At 37.6% G+C, this 25,987-nt stretch overlaps 1 protein-coding gene across 4 annotated transcripts; it reads right to left on the bottom strand.

The window, feature by feature from the left end:
- Positions 1-1,359: 1,359 nt before the first annotated feature.
- On the bottom strand, positions 1,360-25,987 carry FCER1A (Fc epsilon receptor Ia). 4 transcript variants are annotated; one of them, NM_002001.4, is made up of 7 exons: positions 25,666-25,987; positions 19,809-19,846; positions 7,143-7,256; positions 6,688-6,708; positions 5,380-5,634; positions 3,317-3,574; positions 1,360-1,814 (listed from the first exon to the last, which is right to left on the bottom strand). In NM_002001.4, exons 3-7 carry the CDS (start codon positions 7,195-7,197, stop codon positions 1,630-1,632), a joined length of 774 nt encoding a protein of 257 aa, NP_001992.1. In that variant the 5' UTR covers positions 7,198-7,256; positions 19,809-19,846; positions 25,666-25,987; the 3' UTR covers positions 1,360-1,629. The 4 variants fall into 4 exon arrangements, with proteins under 4 accessions (NP_001992.1, NP_001374209.1, NP_001374211.1 ...); NM_001387280.1 differs by lacking the exons at positions 19,809-19,846; positions 25,666-25,987 and having other exon boundaries at positions 7,143-7,226; NM_001387282.1 differs by lacking the exons at positions 19,809-19,846; positions 25,666-25,987 and having other exon boundaries at positions 5,380-5,535; positions 7,143-7,226.

Raw genomic sequence — 25,987 nt, 5'->3', positions numbered from 1 at the left:
TCTTGCCTCTTTTAAATGATTTTTTTTTAAGTGGAGGAGAGTGTGAAGAAAGGTAATACCAGATCCCTATCCAAAGTTAAAAAAAGAGGAAAGAAATGTTTCAGTAATTTCCCTGTTCTTTGTGACCCAAAAACATTCCTTGGAAAAAATGGGACTTGTGGGTCCCATGGATATTTAAAAGTTTTCTCCCCAGCCACACTTCCTCATACTATTAATTGTTCTAAGGCACGGGTAAGCTATAGGCATCCTGATCTTTCACTGATTTCCATGAATCCACAGCCAGCACCAGCAATATGTTGCCCATCTTCCCTAGTGCTTTCTCTAAGCCCTGAGTATAAATATTTTTATGGGCAGGATCATGGGGGTAGAGGGTAGTGGTGGCAAAGACTGGATCTCATGTAGGTGCTAAAAGTTCCTAAATTTGTATAAATGTTTACAATTTACAAAGAACTTTCAAATACAGCCTCTTATTTGATTCTCAGAAGAACTCTAAGAGGTAGACAGGATGACTATTATCCTTTTCTTTTTTTCACAAATGAAATACTAAAGCCCATGGAGGTATAAGAAAATTTTTCCAGATCACAAATCTAGAAAGTAGAAGAGTCAGGATTTGAATTGATGTCTTTTTCTGTATGGTTTAGTCTCTTTCTAATGGATGGCTTTATTATAGGCAGAAACTTGGCCAGGCGCAGTGGCTCAAACCTATAATCCCACACTTTGTGAGGCTGAGGTGGGAGAATCGCTTGAGGCCAAGAGTTTGAGATCAGCCTGGGCAAAATAGCAAGACCTCATCTCTACAAAAAATTAAAAAATAAATCATAGGTAAAAACTTAATCCCATTTACTCCATGACAGAAGAATGAGCCTCCAATGACTATGATGAAGACATAAAATGAAAGGGAAAATAAACCAAAACTGTCTAGTTCTTTTGCCCAAGATCTTATTCAGTCCTGGACTGTTTTCAGAGCCGAAGGTTTTGGTTATTATTATTAGCTGGAATTTCTCCAAAATGCTTGGTTCAGGTGCTGTATAAAGATACAAGACATAAGTTCAAGATATAAATTTGGGAGGGGCAAAACAATCACAGAGGAATCCTGGACTCTACTTCATCCTGAGAGTCCTATGTCTTGAGACTGTCCCTGATTCTGCCAAGAACTGAAAGTTCATATTTAGTAAGCTGAAGAAGAAGCATAAAAATGATCCACCTCACTGGCATCCTCCTATGTCTTTTCATTCCTAGATCGCACTTGCAATAGTCAAGAGAGGACATTTCCAATCTAGAACTTCATGGTCCTTGCCTTTAGTAGAAAACAAACAAACAAACTAGCAAGCCTTGAATACTCAGAAGCATTCTGTTACATGGTTTTATATTTATTTTATTGAAATTGAACATCTCTTTTACAAATGCTAATAAATGAATCTATTCATTCTCTCATTTATTCAACCAATGTTAATTGAGCACTTACTATTACATGCCACTTAACCAGTTTCACTCAGTTTAATGAAGCATTTCTATAAATCCTTGAGCACAGACGTTTCTATGTATATTGCAAGCTGTGTTTGACAATTGAGTAGCAATTGCTGATGCTGGAAAAAAACTAATGTTGCAAATATTTCTTGAGTAATTATATCAGTTGTTTTTGGGGTTTGGCTTAGGATGTGGGTTCAGAAGTCTGAAGCCTTTCCTGGTTCTCTTAATCTTCAAGAGAAATGTGACCTGCTGCTGAGTTGAGATAAATAATCCTGTGTCCACAGCAAACAGAATCACCACCAACAATGGGATAAAAAATTGTAGCCAGTACTTCTCACGCGGAGCTGTAGTGGAACACAGATGCAATGAGAAACATAATTCATCTTGGGAACTGAAAAATGAGGTTCAGAGTTTCATCCTCCCTAAGAGAAAGACCAAGCTTTGTCCTTCATTTTTAGCGTGATGTGGCATCCAGAAGCACAGAGAAAACACTCAGATTAACACTAGGTTGAGTTGCTCTGTTGGTGCTCCCTGGAGCCACAGGGAGTCCTAAGCATTTCCTCTTAACTCCAGTAGCCAGTGTGCCGTGCCCAGAGGGGAAGACAATAGGAAAGATAAACCCCTTATTCGAAATGACAAGACCAGAATTCACATATAATTAAGGGGTGGAAAGGGGACAAAGTGAGGACAGGGGTCATCAATGCCTATTACTCAATCAATCATCATTTCTTACATGCCTGTTAGGCAAAATGAAGAAATTGCACTAGTTAAATTGCCTTCCAATTCTATTATTTTGTGGTTCTGTTAGTCTGTTTATAAACTGTACCGATTTTTGTGATTAGTCTCAAATTATAGAGCCTCAGAATATTACATCCAGAAATCATTTAAAGATCACCTAGACAAGTGATTCTCAATATTGGCTACCCATTACCATTATGTGAAAGACCTATGAAAAATACGTATACCCAGGCTGCACCCCAAACCAATTAAATCAGAATCTCAAGAAATGAGACATGAGCATCAATATATTTTTTAAGTTATCAAATGATTCTAATGGAATCTAGACCAAATATTCTGTTTTACAGATGAAGATACTGGAAGCCTAGAGACAAGTACATAGCACTTCAGTCTCAAATTAGTTAACAGAGAACTGCTAGGACTTAATTATGTATTTTGACCTCATGCTTTTTTAAACATTATTATGTACAAAGTGTGTGAAGGAAAAGTCTAACTTTCTCCTTCAAAAGTGAATACTTCACAGGCTCCCTCTCTTATAAAGAGTTTGGAGAGAGCAGTTTTTCTTACAGGCCATAGAGGCAGTCCACCTCCCTACCCTCTCCATATCAAGTCCATTCCCTCCTCCCTCAATACACAGGCACACAGCTTACTGACTTGCTGGTTTCCTTTCCCAGCCCTCCTAAGCTGGAATGGGCTCCTCAAGCTCTTTATATCCTTTCTTCATTCAACTTTGAAACTTTTTTTCAATTTGATAAATATAAGTGTTCCCCCAGGAGCAACAGATGACTTTGAGATCAAAATAGTAATCACAATCTGTTATGCTTGGGTAGTGCTTAACAGTTTACAAAGTCATTTCACAAATATTACCACATTAATCTTCATAAAAATTTCATAGTGCAAGCAGGTATTACTATCACCATTTAACAAGTCAAGGCTTTGAAACAGAGATTGAGATATATACTATCACCCAGGTCTCCTCATTGCAAGTCTGGTAGGCTTTCCAGTGTATCACAGGTGCCCCCCTTCTACAAGCTGCAACTGCTCAGGCTCAGAAGTTCTCTCTTCCTTCCCCTGCTATGGATGCTTTTCCTTTCCTTTACCAACTCACCTTTTATTACAGTAATGTTGAGGGGCTCAGACTCATAGTCCAGCTGCCACACTTTGCCCGTACAGTAGTAGGTTCCACTGTCTTCAACTGTGGCATTTGTAATGGAGATGTTGTGGTTCTCATACCAGTACTTGAGAGCTTCACCATCCTTATAATAGATCACCTTGTACACATCCCAGTTCCTCCAACCATGGCACCTGAGGAAGAGGGGCTGGCCCTCCATCACCACCTCAGCAGAGGCCTGAAGGAGCAGCCAGTCTGAAGAACATTCATTACATTATTTATTTAACAATAAATGAAGAGAGAGAGAATGAATAGAGAAAAGAGAGCCACGCATAGAGCATGTGTCAGAAACTATGAATTATCATTAACTCACTTTTTGGCTCATAAAGTGGATTTTTAAAGGGCACAAAATAATGCTTAGAGCCTGTCTTGTGTATTGATAAATCCTTTCCCCTCCTGAAAAGTCAGTCTGGGGCCACAAAGCCTCTCGGACCTCCCTGATGAGTCCATACATGGAACACTTGAAAGCCAGAATTCCTTTCAGATCTTCTGTTGCTAGTTCTAGTTAGTTAGGGGAAAATAAACAGTCTTTCTTGGGAATTTTAGCTTAGGAGAGTGTCTATTTTGTCCTCTCTTACCTTATAGAAACTTCCCAGTTCTAGTGTTAATTATAGTTGTCAAAAAAAAACTTCTTCAAAACATGTATAATTTAAATTAATTACTTATGTAATTCTTTATTTAATGTCCTCTTCCCATACTGCTCTGTGCTCCAAGAAGTCAGGGACCCTGTCTAGTTCTACATTCTATTCTGAATGCCCAACACAGTATTTAGGAGTTGGTAGCAATACTTAGGAGTTGGTAGGTACTCAACAAATATTTGTCACTAATGAGTCAGTGAAAGACAAGAATCACATTCTATGGTTAATGCTTTTGTAAAAATTAAAAAGCATTCATTAAAGGAGAATTTTGAAAGGAAATATCGCTAGCATAATAAGCATAATTAATTTAGGACCAATCCTTTAGGACTTCTCTAGAACCTACTCCAGGGAATAAAGAAGCTATTCTACATTGCTTTAGTTTGTGTTTGGAATTTACATATGGAGGTTGAAACATTTTTTTTCACTCAAGAGAAAAATATAGAGTATAAAAGAGACCTATTGGTCACTATTCAAAATCATTAATTTGTTTATTCAACATTTGCTAATTAAGCCACATGTGCCTAAGCATGCTATGCTATTTGTTGGCAGTAGGAGTGATAAAAATGAAACAAGCATGAAATATGTGTTCTTAAGTAACAACAGAGGACATAAGGAAATGTACCCAGATATGTTTCATAACGAAGAGTACAACCTAATATTCAGGTCCTGCCATATGGATTATGCAGAGCAAAACTTTAAGTCAAACCTTTTGATCCTATTCCAGATACACAGCTCTTTGAAATGTTCACATATATGTCATGCTGTTTGACCACATAATATATACCTGAATCTAGGCAGAAAAGATAGAGGAAAATAGGGTGGAGGAATAATATTGAGAGATGACTAGAATATTGAAAGAAGGCATACAAGTAATCAAAAGGGAAGGGGGTAGAAGAAAAGAGATGCAGGGGTCTTTTTTATTTATTTATTTATTTTTTGAGACGGAGTCTTGCTCTGTAGCCCAGGCTGGAGGGCAGTGGCGTGATCTCAGCTCACTGCAACCTCCACCTCCTGGGTTCACACCATTCTCCTGCCTCAGCCTCCCGAGTACCTGGGACTACAGGTGCCCACCACTACGCCCGGCTAATTTTATATATATATATTTTTTAGCAGAGATGGGGTTTCACCATGTTAGCCGGATGGTCTCGATCTCCTGACCTCGTGATCCACCTGCCTCAGCCTCCCAAAGTGCTGGGATTACAGGCGTGAGCCACTGTGCCCAGCCAATGCAGGGGTCTTAAAAATGAGAGGCCTTGAATCCCACTCTGGTGTCCTAACCCTTGGAATAACCTGTTTTTTCCCATCTTCAGATGAGCCATCCCTCACATGAGAGATCTGTATTTCCATATCCCTGGAACTTACCACTGAAGACTTCCAGGTACACAGGTTCACTCTCATTAACTTGTTGGTGCTGACATTTGTATTCTCCACTGTCTTCAAATTTGGCATTCACAATATTCAAACTTGAATTTGTCTCTTCTGAAAGGCTGCCATTGTGGAACCATTTGGTGGAACTGACTTCAAAGAAATTGTTCCCATTACATGTAAGAGTCACATTCTCTCCTTTAAATATTCTATTCCATGGAGGGTTCAAGGAGACCTTAGGTTTCTGAGGGACTTCAAGAAGATAAAAATATGAAAAGACATGTAGAGAGAAAAAAAGTCATTGAAAACTGTCTAGGCTTAAAAGTACAAACGAAGCAATATTCTGACAATCAGTGGTCAACCTGTCCTTATTCTGTTGGTGATAAGACCCTGTTTTGATTTCTAGGGGAAGGAGAAATTAGTATTGGTGCCCCAGGGAACGCCCAACACAGGGAGAAAGACAGGACACATATGCAGGAGATTTAAAAACAAAGAAACCAATTCACTATGTGATTTGAGCTGACTCACTCTACTTCTGTTAATTTCAATTCAGTATCTGTAAATGAGGACTGCAATCTCTTTTGAGGTAGAAACACTGTCTGCCATGTTCAACCATTGTTACATTAAATATTTATTATGTGAATGAATGAGTGAATTATGGATGGATAAATTTACTGGACTGGATGAAATATAAGGTTTCTCCAAGCTCTGAATATTTATGACTATTTAATTGTAAGTATATACAGAGTGAAAAACATATGTCAGTTCCAGAAAGTAGTGAGAGGCACTAAGAAAGTCAGTCTTGAATGGCTTCCTGGAACAAGGGGATGTAGTGCAAATTTGAACAGAGACCAAAGAAGTAGATACATGGTGATAACAAAAGGGTGATATAGTCAGAAGAGAACTGGACTTAGATCCAAGGAACTTACGTTGAAATCCAGTTCCTTAGCCATGTAACCACCAGAAAATCACTGAGTTTCAGCATCCTCAATTATAAAATGGCAATAATAATAATAATGTAATTATTGAGCGAGATCATGCCAAAGTGTCTAGGAGAGAGAATGAGACATGTATATGTGCAACAGACATGGTTATTGACTAAAACAGAGGAGAGAATGACTTGAGAGAATGCAATGAATCAGGGAAAAAAAGAAAGACAAGGCAAGGTGGAGAGGGAAAGTAGTCTGGCCAAGGAACAGATTCATGCTCATTAGAAAGCAGAAGTGATGGGACGAAGAAAATAGTGAGAGGAAAGCAATGCCCAGACATGTTGAAACACCAAGGGAACAAGAACAGAGGACTCACCTGCTAACACGCCATCTGGAGCTGCAAAAGTCCAGAGAGGATACATTAGTGTCCAGCAGTCTTCTTTATCTCCAGAGGACTAGAATCTGGGTGTGGGGATAAGATCTACATCCATGGAATTTTAAGGACCAACCGTCTTTTCAGGAATCAGAATCAGGGGAAGAAAGAGCTTCTTTCTCTCCTCTACCCTCATTTCCTTGGTAGGAAATTTGCACTCTGGAAGATGCCAGAGCAAATGCAAGGAACCAAGCTTTCAGTCTGGCTTCCTCCTTAGGTGTTGCTCAGCCCACTTGCCTCTGCTTTCTAGCTTGGCTCCACTACAGAGTCCCTGGGAAATGCCCAATAGTTTGCACATGTCCTAGAAAAAGTCACCACCCACAGTAAAGGTTCCTACCCCAGCTGCTCCCCAAATTCATTTGGGCCTCCCTGGGAGGGGTAATTGAATCTCTACTTACCGAAGAACAGTAAGGCTACACACAGTAGAGTAGGGGATTCCATGGCAGGAGCCATCTTCTTCATGGACTCCTGGTGCTTACTGTGCTGGAGAGATCTAAGGCTTCAAATATAGGCTTAAAACCAAAAAGCAGAAGGAAATGTTTTCTGTATCATATCTGGTTAACCCATCAGCTGTGCCTGGTTTTGCTTCTTTCTTTAGAGATAATATTCAGGATGGTGCCCAACTGGGCAATTTAATATTTACCCACTTACTCCACTCCCTATCCCACCTCCACATATACACCTGGAATCTGGTGAGAGAGAGGCATAGGTCTAGCACAATCACAAGCCTTTCTTAATCTGTCAATCTGTGTACAACTATTTAGTTTACAACTTAGAAAAGTGGGATGCAAGGGAGAGCAGAATAAAACAGCAGCAACTAATTACTGAATACCAAACATATGCCAGGTGTTATCCTAAATAAATCTGATATTTCATTTATTTTTCACAATAATCCTATAAAGTACATACTATCACTATCTACATTTTATAAACAGGAAAACTGAATCTTAGTGAGGTTAAGTAACTTGTTTTGGGGTGCCAACTATTAAATAACTAATTTGGGGTTCAAACACATAAAATCTAACCCCTAAGTCAAACTCTTAGTCATATGATGTACTGTTTATACATATTCAGGAGCATGGCTAGCAACTGCCAAATTCTTTTGGGATTCACCAGAGCTACCAACGCTTTTCTTGTTTAATTTCCTGCTGATCAGTTAGTGCATAAATCCACAAATTTTCATCTGATTCACTGATGATCCGCTGTCTGACCAGCGAAATTGGAAACATTTTCAGAGACTCCTCTTTCTCTACTGTGCCCTAATCTGGCTCAGAACACAGGAAGGCAGAAGTTAAACCATTACTTATGGGGATCTAGGCCATATAATTTATTTTATTTTACTTCCTAGCTTTTGTTTACTTTTAATATTATAATTTCCCAACATGATCTCCCTTTCTCCTTTAAATACACAGCAGGGGCTTTCTCCAGGATTCCTTTACTAATTCTTCTGTTTTTTTGCTCTAGGTCAAGGCTCAACCTTCTTCCAGGATCTGATATTAATGATAATACTGGAAATGAAAACTCTATTAATGTCTATAGTGGCTTGTCATTTGCAAAGATTGCTTTTAAATGAGTGTCCTATTTTATCTTTACCAAAACTCTGAAGAAGACAGGGACAGTATATTTAAACCCACTTCACATCTGAAGCACTTGAGGAACCATTCTATCATACCTTGCTCTTCCCCACAGACTGCTGAATTAAGTCTATTGAATGAAACCAGTCATTCCACATGAAGATCTAACCAAAACCTTTAGTTTTCTATGGAATTAGAAAATATAGGGCTAAAAAGGTTAATAAATAGGAATTTAAGTTTCAGATAAGAAAGATTAGGTACTGAGCCCAGGACATGCTATGTTTTAATGACAGACCTTAAAGGTAACAGCAAGTTATTTTGAAAAGTACAAGTTGTTTGTGTTTTAAGCTCTGAATTCAAATGTTCCTAATTTTTATGTGATTGAAGGTTACCTGTATAATAGGGACAATAATGGTATCCAGGTCATGGTTATATTATGAGATTTAATAAGATAAAAAAGAAGTAAAATGCATTGCACAGCATCTGACATGTGAAATATGGTCAATAAATACATTTTTTGTCTTCTTTATTATCATTATTTATTAAAGACTTATAGGAGAAATATGAATTTTGACTGGATTAAAGTTATTGTCAACCTACATAGTATGTTTAATTTGATAAACAACATCTTATGCTAGTTTAATATATCTACGCAATCTCAATCCTCTCCACAGTCACAAAGAAGAGAGCATAATCAGGAAAGAACAGAATGCAGAAAGTTGTTGGATAGGATTGGAGAAGAGAAGGAGGAGGAAATAGGGAAGATGTAGTTTTTAAGGTGCTGTCAGAGGGCAATATTTGAAGCCCTAAGCCCTGGAAGAGACGGGGAAAGATTCTACTTTACCAGTTTGTTGAGACTTTGCCAGGGGAAATTTGGGTTCCTTTTTCCTAGGACAGTGAACCTACAATCAAATTGTCCCTCAGAGAGAGTCATTTTACCATGACTCAAATAGTCTATTTAAAGGCTTCCTCTGAAGTCGTTATCTAAATAGCTCCTACTTAGATGGGAGATGGAGCAGGGCTCATCGAGAGGTACTATTCCTAGTTCGAAGAGTATAAGCTTTGGAGTTAGGGAGGCCACTTTCATTTCTAAAGCTTTCTGAAACTTTGGATTTATCATTCTAAAGCTTTTGCTTAAGTGCCCGGTATTGAAATAAAGGAAGTGCTTTGGTAGCAGTAACAGCAAAAATGTAGCAGTCCAATAAAAGCAGCTCATTAAAGCCTAAAAAGCAACCAAACTACCCATCTTCCCAGCCCACCCCCACCCCAAAAAAGCAAACCATTAACAGCATCGGAAAGAAAAAGCCATACCCTAATTTCCATAGCATATAACTACAGGTACCCAAAAGAACAGAACAAGAACACAGAAGGAACACATTAACACTAACATTAAACAAGAGCTCTATTCCTCCCTGGAAGAACGGGCTGATACACAGTTGAATGCCACAGGTTTTTTATCTTATATATAAAAAAAAAAGTCCTTCAAGTTTCATATCCATTATCTGGGTGGAGTGGGCTGCTACTAATTTCTCATACCCAGCCTGTCCACATCAGGAACACACGTTCACTGAAATCAATAGGGCGTGTCTAAATTTCAGTTCTTGCTTCTGATTCTGGGTACAGGAATGCTCAATACACAAAGAGTATCACTATGCCCAAACTTGGACCTGTTATTTGATGTTGGGAGCCTTAATCTATATTTCATTTTGTAGCAGTGGAAAAATGAAACAAATGGCTGTACATGAGCTACAGGGCCTGAGGACTGTGAGGTGCCCCTGCAACTGGATCCAGCGTGAGAGGCTTTGGGCAGGAACTTTTGTGTTTCGGGACGTGCCTGGCAGAGGGAGGATCAAGGCTCAGCCTATACAGTGTGTTAGCCTTTATGTCCTTCTCCAAAACTGGGAAGCAGAAAAACCAAATCAATCTGCTGGCTTCCTTCTCACTCTCAAAGTTCTCTAAAACAAGGTGAGGTCCATATAAAATTGAATATGAAACGATGAAAGTGCAAAATGCCTGTCTGCTCGTGATATTTATGTACCTAACAAATGTTGATCTCTCCCTGAGGATCAAATACAAGGCTAACTATGCAACATGTCCTATCTATTTTCCTCCTACTACCAACTCTATGTAGTTAAGAATAAGGAAATCAAAGCATGAGAGGTTAAGTAACTTGTCCCAGGGCACACAGTTGCTATGTAAAGGAATTAGAATTTGAACCTGGCAATATGTCTTAAGAGCACATGCTCATGACCAGATAGATAGATGATTGATTGACAGATAGATAGATAAAGATGTCTTTATTCATTGAGTCTACACTTTGTGATTAAGTGCACATGGATTCATAGTCCTCATGCAGAAATTCCTTGGATTCAAGGGTTCCATAACCCACAAATAGGAAATCACTGATCTAAACCAACTTTCTGTTCTATAAGTTCCCTTTCTTAATTCAGGCCATGACATCTCAACTCACAGCCACACAATGTTGGTACTGTTGGTATGTTAGCTATGTATATTTCATGGACATGCCTAAAAAGAAGAAAGGAGAGAGGGATTCTTTCCTTTTTCCTCTATATTAGGGCCAGGAGGATATCAGCTGCATTTACTTTCTTTTGCTACCCTGAACAGGAGTTTCTGCTCAAGAAAGAGCATCAATAGCAGATGCTGACTGCCTGTTAGATTTTCACAAGAAAGTCAGTGACTTTAATATTTTTTACTTCTTGTCTTGACCTGAATGGGTCTAAAAGTAATAAATCCAAAGGAAATAAATGGAAACTCCCAGGACTACTAAAGAAGAGAGTGAAAAGGGAGGTTCTAGTTTCCTTTAAACAACCAGCTCTCATGTGAACTCATTACCATGGGGAAGGCACCAAGCCATTTATAAGAGATCTGCCTCCATGACCCAAACACTTCCAACTAGGCCCCACCTCCAACATTGGGGACCACATTTCAACATGAGATTTGGAGGGGAGAAAACATCCAAGGCGTATCACTGAGCATAATCTACACTCTTTTATAGTGCATAGGTGTGGGCATCTAGATATCAAGCTGCCTGTCTTCAAGATATGTAATCAGCCACTCACACTTTGCCGATGAAGCATCTTTGTGGTGTCTTGTAGTTAAGGGTACAATCTGAACCATAAGGTGGACTCAAACAAATTGATCATGACCTCTACCTTATAAATAGTATATTTCAGCCAAGAAGCCCAAAGGGCTTCAAACTTACCTTCATGTCTTCCAACAGATACAGATGTTAAGTGAGCTGACATTTTCTTCATAATGGGGAGAACAATATTATAAGCCCACTGAGGAAGATCCTTAAGGAAAGTTGTAGTATAAAAAAGTTTTCCTTCTTTAAAAAAAATTTTTTTTGAGACTGGGTTTTACTATGCTGCCCAAGCTAGTCTCGGACTGCCAGGCTCAAGTGATCCCTCCCACCTCATCCTCCCAAGAAGCTGGGATTATGGGGATGTGCCACCATACCCAGCTAAAAAAAATACCAGAATATCACACTAAATTTTTAAAAATTAAAAGAATAAAAATAAAAGTTTAGCCATAGATAATTTAAAGAAATTAAGTGCAAGATTAATTAAGAGTTCAGGCTAGGAACAAGCTCTAAAGTTTGAGTCTCGGCTGTGACCACTCAAACTCTTTTTGCCTCAGCCTTCTCACCAGTAAAATGGAGATAGTAATAGTACCTACCTTAAGGGTGGTTATCAGCATAAAATGAGTTAATGTGGTGAGGTGGTTAGAACAGAACATATACTAGTTTTCATGAATACTATAATTATTTTGCAAGAAGCCTTTGGTTAGACTTGAGAGCAGCAGAGAGAGAGCCTCCTTTCCCATCCTCCTGGTCTGTCCTGAGGATGAAGAACCTGGAAGGCCACTGGTGGGTCCAGAAGGCAAAACCTTGTTCTCACAGGATGCAGCCAGGATCACACAGCAGTAATCATGTCAATGAGACAGACATCATCACACACATAACCACACCCACACCTCCAACACACGCATGTCTGCAGAAGTGGCGTTAGGAAGTTTGAAGATCATTTTCAGGTGTGGTACGAGACAGAGAAATCCCCATTGTGCAGAGTCAGCCCTCAAGCCGAATGTAGTGTAGGCCAGGTTTATTTTATGCTTCCTTACAGAATTACACAGTTTCAAAACGGAAAGAGAAATCTCTTAAAGGAATCCTTTTAGGCCGTTAACAGACAAGGATGAGAGATCTTAGCCCAGACCAGGACATTTGCATTTTAATAGGCAACTTTTGAAGACCTAATTTTTCAGGACTCTGGCTAAACAGTTCTGTGACCCGTGTGTTTCTAGTGCGTGAAAGAGGGTATGAGTGAGGATGGGAACAGTGGGAGGGGCAGGACGCATTCTGAAACTTTCTCATCATACTCTGTGTTACCACCTACAAAAGGCCTTTAGGAAATGTAAGTTTATGCATGAGAATGTATGTATGTGTATTGAGGGTTGCTTGTTTCAATGATGAGTATACAGGAGACATTTGTAGCATTAGCAGGCAAACAAATGCCCTGCAATACTGAAGGCAGCCTTGCATACTAAATAATTGGCCTGATTCTGCACATCTTTTCAATGTGCAGCCAGATATTTTATAATTATCTGAGCCTTAAACACGACTGTGAAAAACACAAAAGCATCTTTTGCATTTCTCATACATACTGTATTTTACAGAAAAGAAACTACCATGTATATTGAGGAAAGATTATCCTTGGCTTTTACTGGAAAAACATCCTTGAATTTTTCACTGTTTCAGAAAATCAGATCACCTGTAGCTACACTGTTCATGATATTTGTGTCACCAATACCTTATTCTCATATCAGTCTGTTTTTGTAGCACTCATATTCATGAAGGACATATTTTCCTATTATAATGTTATTTCCCTTTATTTCTTCTTTATATTAAAACTGGGAATTTTACTGATTAAAAAATATATGTGTGTGTAAGTAGCAGAGGTAGATCCAGTTTGAGGCCCTGAAACTTAAACAGTTTAAGGGGGCTTCCTTAAAAAATCCAGTAGAAATTTTTGAATACAATATTAGATATTAAAATTACTATTTAGGACAAGAAAGTTAATCACAAAAGGTTAAAAATATACCAGCTGACAAATGACATAAACATTATAAAATTCATCAGAAAGTAAACAGATATTCCACTATCCTCTTCCTTTTCAAAATATTGTTATTACATGTTATTTGATCTCCTCTTCCTCAGACAGAGATATTGTAATATCATTTTTATAGACAAACTAGAAATATAATTTATTCTTTTCTCTAGCATCATTGAGCACCACTTATTTTCTATTATTGATTGTTGGGAGTGCATAGAGTATGCAGTTTCACAGCAATATTCTCACTATTTGTAGTGTGGTTACAGGTTTATGCCTTACAAACACAGGAATAAATGCATGCTATCAAATGTGATCTGATAGGATTGAAAACCACTGCTAAATTCTGAAGAAGAAAAAAGGGCCAGAGAAACATGGAATAGGGGCCCTGATCCGCAGTTTCCAGTGATATTCATCACAGCTTTTTCCTTTGTCTCTTCCAAAACGGGAAACACTTGCAGATTATCATAGAGGTTCAAGAAAACAAATGAATATTGAGTGTCTGTGATTAGACTATTAGACCGAATATTAGAAATAGATTCAGTGACATAAAATTTGGGACATTTTGGTGGCCATTCCCGTAGAATAGTGTTTATTATAATTAGGAATTTGTAAGTTTTTTAATTAGAAAATTTGTACGTTTTTCATTGATAATAAATAAATGAATATAAATATGGATCATTCAGATGACCATTTCATAACCAAAAATTGCATCTTTATTTCAACATCTGCATTTCCATTTTTTTGTTTGCAATTTACAACTGCATCTAGTGACCGACAAATTAAGTCATGCTGCACCTATGAATGAGGGTTTTATGTTGTTCAGAGACAGGTGGACAAAAAAAGGAACTGACACAAGGCCCACCCTAGAATAGGCTGCCAAACACAGAACAACCCTCTTTATCATAGGTAATAGCACAGTCACGTTGCAGAAAGATATATGAAGAAAATCTTCTCTGCATGACCCAAGGGGCAAGAGTTAATTAGAAGTCTATAGCAGAGAATGTAAAATAAATAATTTTTTGTATTCTCAATTCCTAAATTGAATTTATACTAATCAACCATATATTTCAATAATCTCATGATGCCAATTTATCTTTAAGAGAAAAAAGATAACTTCAGAATTATCAAGGGCTATCTCATTAAAGTTAGCATTTGATCATAGTTTGCTGGTAGAATTTTGGCTAATTATATTTTCTAATTTTTCAGAATGAGCAAACTATGTCTTGAAGTTTATTAATAGTGTTTTTTATAATATACTTTTCCAAACAGGCAATCTCTGAGCTTGAATTATTATGGACAAATAAAGAAATGGCTTAAATATGGATACAGACCTGTTACTTGATCTTTCTGTCACTAAAACTAACACAAAAATTTAGTTTCAGCATAGGAACATTCTTCATCATATATTTTCATTTCTTTGTTCAACAAGTATTTATATTCCAAGCACTCTGTCATTTGCTGGTGATACAAGAGAGATAATAAGCAGACAAGATCTTTTCCCTTGGGGAGAAGACTTTCTATTGGAGAAAACAGAAAATAAATAAGTAAACAGAACAGTGACAGCTTGTGACTAACGTTTGTAAAAAGTAAATAATGTTGCTCCATAGACGTACAAGGACAATCTGTTTTAAATAGGGTTAAGAAAGGCCATTTGATGAAAAATGACTTTTAAGTAGAGACTTAAAGTACGAGATAGGATGAAACAAGACAAAGGCTGGAACAAGAATTTTCAAGCAGTGGGAAGTTGAAAGTCCCCATAAAAAGAAAGACTTTGGAGAATTGTAGAAATTAAGAGAAGGTTCCAAGTCTTTGCTATTGTGAATAGTGCCGCAATAAACATACGTGTGCATGTGTCTTTATAGCAGCATGATTTATAGTCCTTTGCGTATATACCCAGTAATGGGATGGCTGGGTCAAATGGTATTTCTAGTTCTAGATCCCTGAGGAATGGCCACACTGACTTCCACAAGGGTTGAACTAGTTTACCATCCTACCAACAGTGTAAAAGTGTTCCTATTTCTCCACATCCTCTCCAGCACCTGTTGTTTCCTGACTTTTTAATGGTTGCCATTCTAACTGGTGTGAGATGGTATCTCATTGTGGTTTTGATTTGCATTTCTCTGATGGCCAGTGATGGTGAGCATTTTTTCATGTGTTTTTTGGCTGCATAAATGTCTTCTTTTGAGAAGTGTCTGTTCATGTCCTTCGCCCACTTTTTGATGGGGTTGTTTGTTTTTTTTCTTGTAAATTTGTTTGAGTTCATTGTAGATTCTGGATATTAGCCCTTTGTCAGATGAGTAGGTTGCAAATGTCCAACAGTGATAGACTGGATTAAGAAAATGTGGCACATATACACCATGGAATACTATGCAGCCATAAAAAGTGATGAGTTCATGTCCTTTGTAGGGACATGGATGAAATTGGAAATCATCATTCTCAGTAAACTATCACAAGAACAAAAAACCAAACACCGCATATTCTCACTCATAGATGGGAATTGAACAATGAGAACACATGGACACAGGAAGGGGAACATCACACTCTGGGGACTGTTGTGGGGTGGGGGGAGGGGGGAGGGATAGCTTTAGGAGATATACCTAATGCTAAATGACGAGTTAATGGGTGCGGCACACCAGCATGTCACATGTATACATATGTAACTAACCTGCACATTGGGCATATGTACCCTAAAACTTAAAGTATAATAATAATAAAATTTAAAAAAAAGAAATTAAGAGAAGGACATTAGGGCTGAAGCATAGCGAGTAGAAGGCCAATGGCATAAAACGAGATTGGAGATACACATAGGGGCCAGATCATGAGGGCCTGGAAGAACATGAAAAAGTGTTGGGATTTTATTTGAAAGCTAAGAAAGAGCCACCGGACTGTGTGAAGCAAAAGAATGCACATACACACACACACACACACACACACACACACACAGTGTGTATGTATATATATTCCCCTGCTTAATACAGTTTGATGGCTCTTCATGTATGTCTTAGTCTATTTTCTGTGGTTATAACTGAATACCTGAGACTGAAATTTATAAAGAAAATAAATTTATTTCTTAAAGTTCTGGAGACTGTGAAGTTCAAGGTCAAGGGGTCTATCTGGTGAGGACATTCTTTCTTAATGGGGACTCTCTGCAGATTCCCGAGGTGGCACCGAGATTCACATGGCAAGGGGGGCTTGAGCCTGTAAGCTCTAGTCTCTCTTCCACTTCTTTTAGAGCCACCAGTCTCACTCCCATGATAACCCATTATTCAATTAATCTATTAATTCATAATTAGGTTAATCCATTCATGAGGGCAGAATCTGTATGAACCAATTACCTCTTACAGGTCCTGCTTCTCAATACTGCCATACTGGAAATTAAGTTTCATCACGAAGTTTGGAGGGGATAAACACTCAAACCATAGACATGTATATGTATAGTATATGTGTATACACCCACATTCTCTCAACGTCTACCGATCTATCTATATATAGATAGGTATGTCGTCATGTAATCTGTAGGTTTTTTGAGCAGATATTGGGAAATGCTTAAGAGTCAAAATATGATGATAGATAGTCTAGAGAAGTGGTAGTATAGATAAAGAAAAGTTGATGGGTTTGAGGTATATATATTAATGGGACTTACTGACAGATTGGAGGGCACAGAAAGTATAAAATATGATTCTTAAATTTCTGGCTGTAATAACTGGGTAGACAGTAATTACATGGTGAAGACTGGGGAAGTACTATATTTAAGGGAAGTACTAGAATTGGGGGAGAAATCAACCAAGTGTTCCGGTTGGGAAGTGTTTTAGTTTGAAGCATCTTTATTGTATCTAAGAGTCTGTGCTAAATAGGCAGTTACAAAAAAAATGTTGAGAGACCAGTAGAAATGTCTATATTAGAGATATAAAGTAGAGAAAGTAGAGAATCACTGGCATACTTTAAAGCCACTGAGTAAGATGAGGTCAGCTGAAGAGAGAGAAAAAGAAATTAAGCAACAGAGAAAGTCTCAGAGCAGAACTCTAGGAAATTTCAATATCTTGAAGATGAGTATCAGAAGACCCAGAACAGAGGCTAGAGAAAACAGCTGATAAGGTAAGAAAACTCACAGGGAATTATGTCACTAAAACCAAGAAGAGAGTACAATTCTAGAGGAAATCGTTAATTACATTGAATCTTGTTGAGAGGTGAAGTAAAATAGAGAATACAATTATCCTCTGAATCTAGCAATATGGAAGTTTTTGGGACTTTAGCAATGGCAGTGGAGTAATATGTGTAAAAAGCAAACTGAAGTGGGCTAAAAAAGTGAATAGGAATTGAGGAAGCATAGGCAACATGTGCGGACAATATTCTGAGAAGTTTTGCTGTGGGATGGTGGTATAGGAAGATGTGGGGTTAAGGGAGGATTCTTGTTTTATATAAGATGCTGGATTGTATTTGTTAGCTAACAGGAATAATTCAGTAAGCAGAGAGGGAATAAGGGAAGTATAAGTTAAATAATTGAAGAAGTTAAGCCCTTGCATAATCAAGAAGAGAGAAGTGGCTTTCACTCATTCAATTTAAATCTTTCTTGAACATAACACAGGTGTTTCTGCCATAACATGTAACATACATTTATTTTTTTAAATTGTTTTGCATTCTGCAAAAATAACTAAAACTAACAAGTCTTTGAGAGGAAAAAAAGACTGTTACAGATCATGAAAACCTACCATCAGAGCAGTAACATAAACATTAGTATTTCTACCAAATGAACTATGCAGTTAAAAAGATATGTTAAATTTGTAATAAATAAAATTAACAGTAAATCTAGGACTTGATCACTTTCAAAGGTTGGTGGAAGAAGATGACAAAGAGAAAATACACAAAAGCAGGGGAAAACCAGAGAACAAACATGCTCAAGATACACTTGTGGTAAAACTAAGCCAAGAGAAAACCTTGAAGTGAATAGTTACTGTGCAGAATATTCTATTCCTTGCCATGTTCTACTGTGCTAGTAAGATTTGTGTTAGCTGTTCCTTGGTAGTTCAAAATATTAACTTGCTAGAAAAAAATCTTGTTTCAACCAACTTCAATGTTATATTGACATTATTCCTTGGCTTGCCTATAGCATATAGACTAATTTGCATTACAGAAAAATGCATTATATCAGAGAAACTGCAATGTATTTCTTGATTTGTTAAGCAGTTGCCATGTGCATAGCAATATGTGGAATACTGCGTAGAATACAAAAATGCAGAAGGGAGTTCATCCAAACCACAATGACTTTATTAAAAACTTGATTTCCATAAGCAGGAAGAATAATGGAGAAACTAGGATGTGTTCTAATAAAAATATAAGCACAGGTAACTGTTAATATTTTTTGAACACTGACTGTATTCAGGCATTGTGCTTTATCCTATTTAATACTCACAGGAATCCTATGAAACAGGTACTATCAGCATCCTTGTTTTTAATGAGGTAGGGAGGTTTAGATTATACAACTAGTGAATGGCAAAGCCAGGATTTGAAGCTTAGAGGTCTGAATGGTAGGGATCTTAAACATGAGGAAGAAAGGCATTCAACAAGGTGCTCCAGCACTTTGGCCACAACATTTGGGATAACTTAATTATTCCCTCCAATAAGTTGAGAGTTTGTGGTCATCTTTTGACTTAAAATTTATGAGGCAAGATACTGATGGAGAATCTGACACTGCTAGGGTACTGATGGAGAATCTGACACTGCTAGGGTTTGCAGGAAAAGGCAGGTTAGAAGTAATGGACCTGAGAGAGAGGGTGCTAGAGTTAGCCTCCATTGTGTGGCACCTACTTAAGTACCCCTGAGTTAGGTGGGCATAAAGGAAAGTGACAAGAACTTAAGCCATATTGTCCCTCTCCCTCAAAGGGGACACTCTCTGGGTGAGGGGAACTCTAATAACAAGAGGCTCTGGAGTGGGCGGCCTGCAATGAGAGCAGAGGAAAGTAGAATTGATTGAACCATAAGTTAATAGGTCATTCTTTTTGCTGTGCAGATGCATGGGACATAGGTTCTTCTGGAGAACCTACAAAGGTATTCCCATGAGAGCACCTATATTTGAATCACTGCAAATGAGAAAGAACAATGAATAATGCTAGAGAAATGGTGACAACTAGCAAAAAGGTTACACTACCACAATCTGACCTCCACTTATGAGGTAGTGTTCACACAGGAATAGCAGTTAAAACAAAACAAGGAGCCGACAGCTAATACAGCATGGAGAGTTGCTTTCTTCTTCCTACTCTCAAGGAAGGGGCTGATATCTGGAAGAGGGAGGGATGTGAGTAGTGTGGCCATCACCCTTTACCTCCCAACACATAACAAGCCACTGGAGCCATAAACTTACCCCATGCTCGGTGGTAGACAGGTGGAGGATGCTGGAGACTGAAAAGAATTTTGAACAGAAGATAAAATTAAATTGATTAATTTTATAAAATCAAAATTAATTAGATTTGATTGTGCCTAATAACTCCAATGAGACTGTTTTAGTAGCATAAAGTGATTAAAAGGTTATGGAATTAGTCTAAGAAGTCATTAAGGGAGGCTACTGCCCAAGAAGAATGGGTCCACAGCAGTAGTAGTAATTTCAAAAATAATGATTTCATGTTTACACCTCACAAGTTGAGACTTCTTTCAACACAGTTGTGTGTATGAAATGGAAAGATTGTACTACAAGTGTGCTAAGGTCCTCTGCAGGCCCAACATCTAGATGTTTTCTGGCAATTAGAATTGCAGGAGTTCAGGAAGATAACAGTTCAGTTACTTGAACAATTTGGTCCTAAGGTGGCTTCTAAAGAGCAGTGACTGCTACTGGCTAGTTGATGAGTCCTTCACTCTCCTATCTTGCCTGCCAGGTTGACAGTTCAAGATCTACAGTAACCTTGCCTTCTATGCCTCTGACTCTGAGCTGGCAGAAAAGAAAGAGCAGCAGGAGGTCGTGATAGATTTGAAAGTGGAAGTCAAAGAAAGAAAGGAGTTGGAAGCAGAATAGTGGAAAGATGGCAGGACTGACGATAACCATGGGATATTTGTTAGAAGTGACTTGGGGAAGACATGTTATTTCTAGTTTCCTAATGAGTTTTTATCATAAGTCTTAAAGTATAGGAAAAATGTTAAAAAGGAAAGGATCATAGTCATAACCAATTTAAATTTCTTCATTTTAGGGATTGAGAAGCCCGAACCCCTCAGAATGTTTTGTGAGAATTATATATCTAAGCAATTAATTAGTGGAAAATGCAGTACTAAATTGTGAGGCTCCTGTTGTTGTTTCTGCTGCTGCTTTAGTTGAAGATACAGGACCAAGGAAAGGATGAGAGAACAGGTGCCCTCAAGGATTATTATAGTCCATCATGGGGAGAAAGTCAATTAAAAAGTGAACAAATTATTGAACAAAATATACCAGGTAGTAACACAGAGAGAATTAAATTAGAATGATGAGATAGAGTTAGTGGATGGTTAAAATATTTAGGTTAATCACATACTGAAATGATAAGAGTGCAGTAGAGCTCTGTTGATAACCCAGGTTAACTGAATTACCAGAGTAAATGACATTCACCATCGCTTCTGCAGTGCAGACTGACAGATGCACACTACACACTAAATGACCACATCCAGTAAACTCTAACAGAAACACCAGGAGATAGTAGTGTCACAAAACCAAGGCAGAAGAGCATTTCAAGAGGGAGAGTGATTAATAGTGTTAAATGTTTCAGTTATGAAGTAGGGAAAGAACCAAGAATAGTCCGATGAATTTGGTAATTAGAAAAATCTTGGTGTAGCCCCCATGATCCAGGGTCTGTGTCTCTACCATGCAAGCCCTAGATCTCAATGGTAAACTCACTGGAGCTGACCAGTCTCTGAGACATTACTCAAACTTACAAAATAACTTAGTATGTGAATGTATTCATTTTTAACAGTAAGTGTACCAGACCAGTCATTTCTATATGGCTTTCACTTTCTGGTGAATGTAAGCAATTCATATATTAAAATGCATGCCAGAAGATTACTTATTGCTCCCATATTACTCCATTCTTACCTTATCATAGCATGTATCACAATATATGAAAATTGCATCTTTCCTGGTCTAGCTCCTTATCACATCCTCATTGAAGTCAATGACTATATTAGTTTAGTTCACTGCTCTTTATCTGATACTCAGCACAGCAGAGAGCATGCTTAGATTTTTAATATGTATTTATTAGAGAGGCAAATGAGCAATTAATTCATTGATTATTATATCAAGATGTTACAACCTAATAAATCATCCTTTCCTTCCTCAGAGGCAAGTCTTTATCTATCTGCACACATATATAATATATAATTTTATATTTATATATAAATATACATACATATATAAATATGCCTATATACATATATAATACATTATATATTTATATATAATATACAATATATGAAATAATATATATAACAATGTGTATATAGACATATATAAATATGTTTATCTACATGTACATATTTATATATGCATATTTCTAAAAGAGCACTAGAGAATGCTGGTGCTGGACAACTCCTTATCTCCAATTATTCATCCTTTGTGGAAACCACCAATCTTGTCTTTGCATCTGTACTTAGGAAAACCAGCATCCAGGACATATTCTTTAGTTAATTTCTATGGTAATTAGTATCACAGAATATTTTCTTTTATGACCGATGGCCTGCCAGTCCTCTTGAGAATATGTAAAGTATGGGAAAGAGATGGACTTCTAATACTCTTTCTACAATTCTAACCACAGAATATTTGACTGTAAATTTAATTAACTAGAAATACAGTATAATAAAGTCAATGAGTAAAAGGAAGCTGAAATTCTTTGTGCCACCTTAGTCACATGGCTGAAGAAAAGAGAGTCTTCTTTGCCCTGCCTTTTACAGTGTGTTTGTGAACCAAAATTCTTGTCCTCTCAGAAGCCACAAGCAATTTGGTTTTACATGGCACATGCATGGCTATGTAGTTGGAAGCATGGGTTATTCTGACATGCGTTATTCAGAATTTGTGGCCAGCATGGAGGGAAATGAAAAAATGCCCTAGATTTTTCAATTGTGCATCATTCTTTTCTCTTTTGGGCACCATCGTTTACTCCTTATTTCTAGAGAATTAATCTTTTTTACTTAGGAAATCACTTATAAATTTGCTTCAGTTTGCAGGTACTGCCTCCTCCCCCTATAATATGTTCCTGACATCTCATATATCTGCTAATTATAGGACATAGGCTTGCTGGATTATGACTATTTGTAGTCAGAATAGTTTCTTTCACTGGATGTAATAGAATATACACTGGATCAGAATTAGAAGATTGAGGCTTAAATTCCAATTTTACTCATTTTTAGCTTGCACCCCAAGCTAAATGATGAAAGAAACCTTCTATATAAAATAATTCCATTGACTAAATGTAAAAGAAATGGCATGATTAAGAAAGCACCGTTTTGCAACTCCTAATTTTAAATGATTTAGGCCGGGCACGATGGCTTACGCCTGTAATCCCAGCACTTTGGGAGGCCAAGGCGGGCGGATCACAAGGTCAGGAGATCGAGACCATCCTGGCTAACATGGTGAAACCCTGTCCCTACTAAAAATACAAAAAATTAGCCGGGCGTGGTGGCGGGCGCCTGTAGTCCCAGCTACTCGGGAGGCTGAGGCAGGAGAATGGCATGAACCCGGGAGGCGGAGCTTGCAGTGAGCCGAGACTGCGCCACTGCACTCCAGCCTGGGCAACAGAGAGAGACTTTGTCTCAAAAAAAAAATGATTTAGACAAAATTTATCAATAAATTAAATGATAAAGGTTGATGGGATCCATTTGAATGGAGGAGCAAGCTGTTGCCACCTGAAATATTGATCAGTTAGCTTTTGTGCATGCATTTAAATTTTATTTATTTATTTATTTATTTATTTTGGTGGCAGGGTCTCACTCTGTCACTCAGGCTGGAGTGCAGTGGCATGATCTCGGGTCACTGCAACCTCTGCCTCCCGGGTTCAAGCAGTTCTCCTGCCTCAGCCTCCTGAGTAGCTGGAATTACAGGGGCGCGCCACCACGTCCTGCTAATTTTTGTATTTTTGGTAGAGATTGTGTTTCACCATGCTGGTTTGTCCAGGCTGGTCTTGCACTCCTGATCTCAAGTGATCCGGCTGCCTTGGCCTCCCAAAGTGCTGGGATTACAGGCATGAGCCACAGTGCCTGGATTAAATTTTATTTTTTAATAGACAAATAATAATTGTTTGTATTTATGAGGTACAATATAGTATTTTGAAATCAGCTTTGCTTAGAGTAAGACAACAAAACAGTATGTGTCTCCTGATTAGAGTTCCCAGATAAAATACAGAATGCTGCACTGAATTTGAATTTCAAAAAACAATAAATAATTTATTTTGTATATTCCATGCAATATTTGTAACATACTTATCCTAAAAATTATGCTATTTATTTAAAATTAAAATTTAACTGGATGTCCTGTATTTTTGTTAAATCAGACAACTTTACTTGATTATCAAATTTATAATTTATATATATATTAAACTGATATATACACCAAATTTTATGTGTGTTTTTATATATAGTTTAATATAGTCCATAGTTTAATATACTATATTACAGGTTATAGTATATCCAGTTTAATATATCTAATATAATTTAATAAGCTGAACCTGAATCTAATTAAGCCTTTAAAACTAATTTCCAATTTATAAAAAGTACAGAAGATATAACAAATTTAATGATACTATGAGTAAATGCCATCTAGAAAGTAAGATTTTGACCTGGCTTTTTAATGTGTAAATGAGACTTTTTAAAATATGGGGGCAATGGGATGTTGAAATACCCTTGCCCTCCAGGCAATATTTGGTAATGTTTAGAGACATTTTTTATTTTTTCCAATACAGTGGGAAAAGAGAGAAGGATTCTACTGGCATCTGTCCTCTGGGTGGGTAGAGGCCAGTGATCCTGCTAAACATCTTGTAACACAGAAGACCATCTCCCCTCCTAACTCACCTCACACCCACACACGTACACACACAACAAAAATTAGCAGTTTCAAAGTGTCAACAGCACCACTGTTGAGAAACCCTAGTCTAGACTCAAAAAAACTTTTAACGAGTTACAATCAAATGCAATAAGCAGTGCTCATTTGAATCTTGATCCAAACAAACCATATTATTATAAAGAGCATTCCTGTAATAAAAGTCAAGGCAATTATTTAAAAATTATAATGTAGGAAAATGTTTATTGATATGCGAAAGTTTCAAAATGCATTGCTAAGAGAAAAAGTAAACTGGATATAAGGAAGTTTGTATAGCATGATCTCATATTATTAAAAAGAAGAAAGGCTACAAAAGTAATAATCATCCCATTTTTACCATAAACATAAATACATGTGTATATAGACAGGTGCACACATATGAATGCATAAAAGATTAGAAACCTATTCATCAAAATGTTAATGATGTTGATTTCTAAATTGGAAATCACAAGTCATTTACGTTACATTATTTTTCCTTTTCTGTTTTTTCTATAATGAACAAGCATTATGTTTGTAATCAGAGAGAAAACAGGGCCAACTCAGAATTTAAAAATTCTTAGTTTGGGTTGAAGGCCCTTGTGGGCTTGTCCCCTTTTACAGAGTGGCTGAAATGTTACTCAAACATCTCACATGGGTGCAGAGACTGTATGAATGGAGAAGGATGTGCTGAGCCAGAAATTAAACTTATTGGAAGTTCATGGCTGTTTCATTCCCCCTCCAGCAGGATCAGAGAATGAACCAAAGGGAGCACAAGGAAGGGCTCTGACAGTGTCTTCTCCCCTTTCCCAGTGTGGTGTGGGTGATGGATCTCCCTAAATGGAAAAGTAGGGCTGAGATGTATGTCAGTGAGACTCAAGGAAATTTGCTGTAGGCTGAAGTGGGATGACAGATGTCCCGGCCCCTATAACCTTTTGATTACCCTGATATTATTTATATAAATAAGTTTCAGGAAGCTAGCTGCTCTCCAATACTGAGAAACTTAAATTTAAGGTCCTCCCTTTGTATGCTTACCCAGTATTCACGTGGTTTACTTTATTAAAACTCAATGCAGTATTAGTTTCTACACTCCAACAATCCCCAACAGTCAGTAGGCAAATGAAAACATCTCCTTCATCAGCGACCCACATTTCTAATGAAATTCTTGAGACCAGCCTTCAGGTTCTACCTTCCTTACCTCTTAGTAGCATGGAGGAATTCTCAAAAGGATGATCTCAGGAGACTTGGGGCAGAGGGATTCTCTTCTCCTTGGGGAAAATAAATATACACAGCTCTTGAAATCTGCAGTTTAAGAGACTGTATTTTTTTCCCTGGGCCACTTCTCAAGCCAAATGAGCCAATGTCCCAAGCCTCAGGAACATAGCAACAATTTGAGGCTCTCTTTGATATTAGAGAGAACTGGATTTTTCTCATTTTGTGTGTTTTTGCTTCCGTTGTAAATGCCTCTTGAATACAAGGTTTTTTCACCTGCTTTCTCTGAGTAGACTCAGTCCTTTCAT

The sequence above is a fragment of the Homo sapiens genome, chromosome 1, assembly GCF_000001405.40.
Source record: "Homo sapiens chromosome 1, GRCh38.p14 Primary Assembly".
NCBI lineage: Eukaryota > Metazoa > Chordata > Mammalia > Primates > Hominidae > Homo > Homo sapiens.
This window is presented reverse-complemented; position numbering and strand designations above follow the sequence as displayed.

Bases quoted from the DNA above. Each gene is read 5' to 3' on its own strand.
- FCER1A (NM_002001.4), bottom strand. From the start codon at position 7,197: ATGGCTCCTGCCATGGAATCCCCTACTCTACTGTGTGTAGCCTTACTG. The intron at 6,709-7,142 runs GTAAGTAGAGAT...GGACTTTTGCAG, and splicing joins TGTAGCCTTACTGTTCTTCG to CTCCAGATGGCGTGTTAGCA. The intron at 1,815-3,316 runs GTGAGTTGGTAA...GTTCCACTACAG, and splicing joins CAACATTACTGTAATAAAAG to CTCCGCGTGAGAAGTACTGG.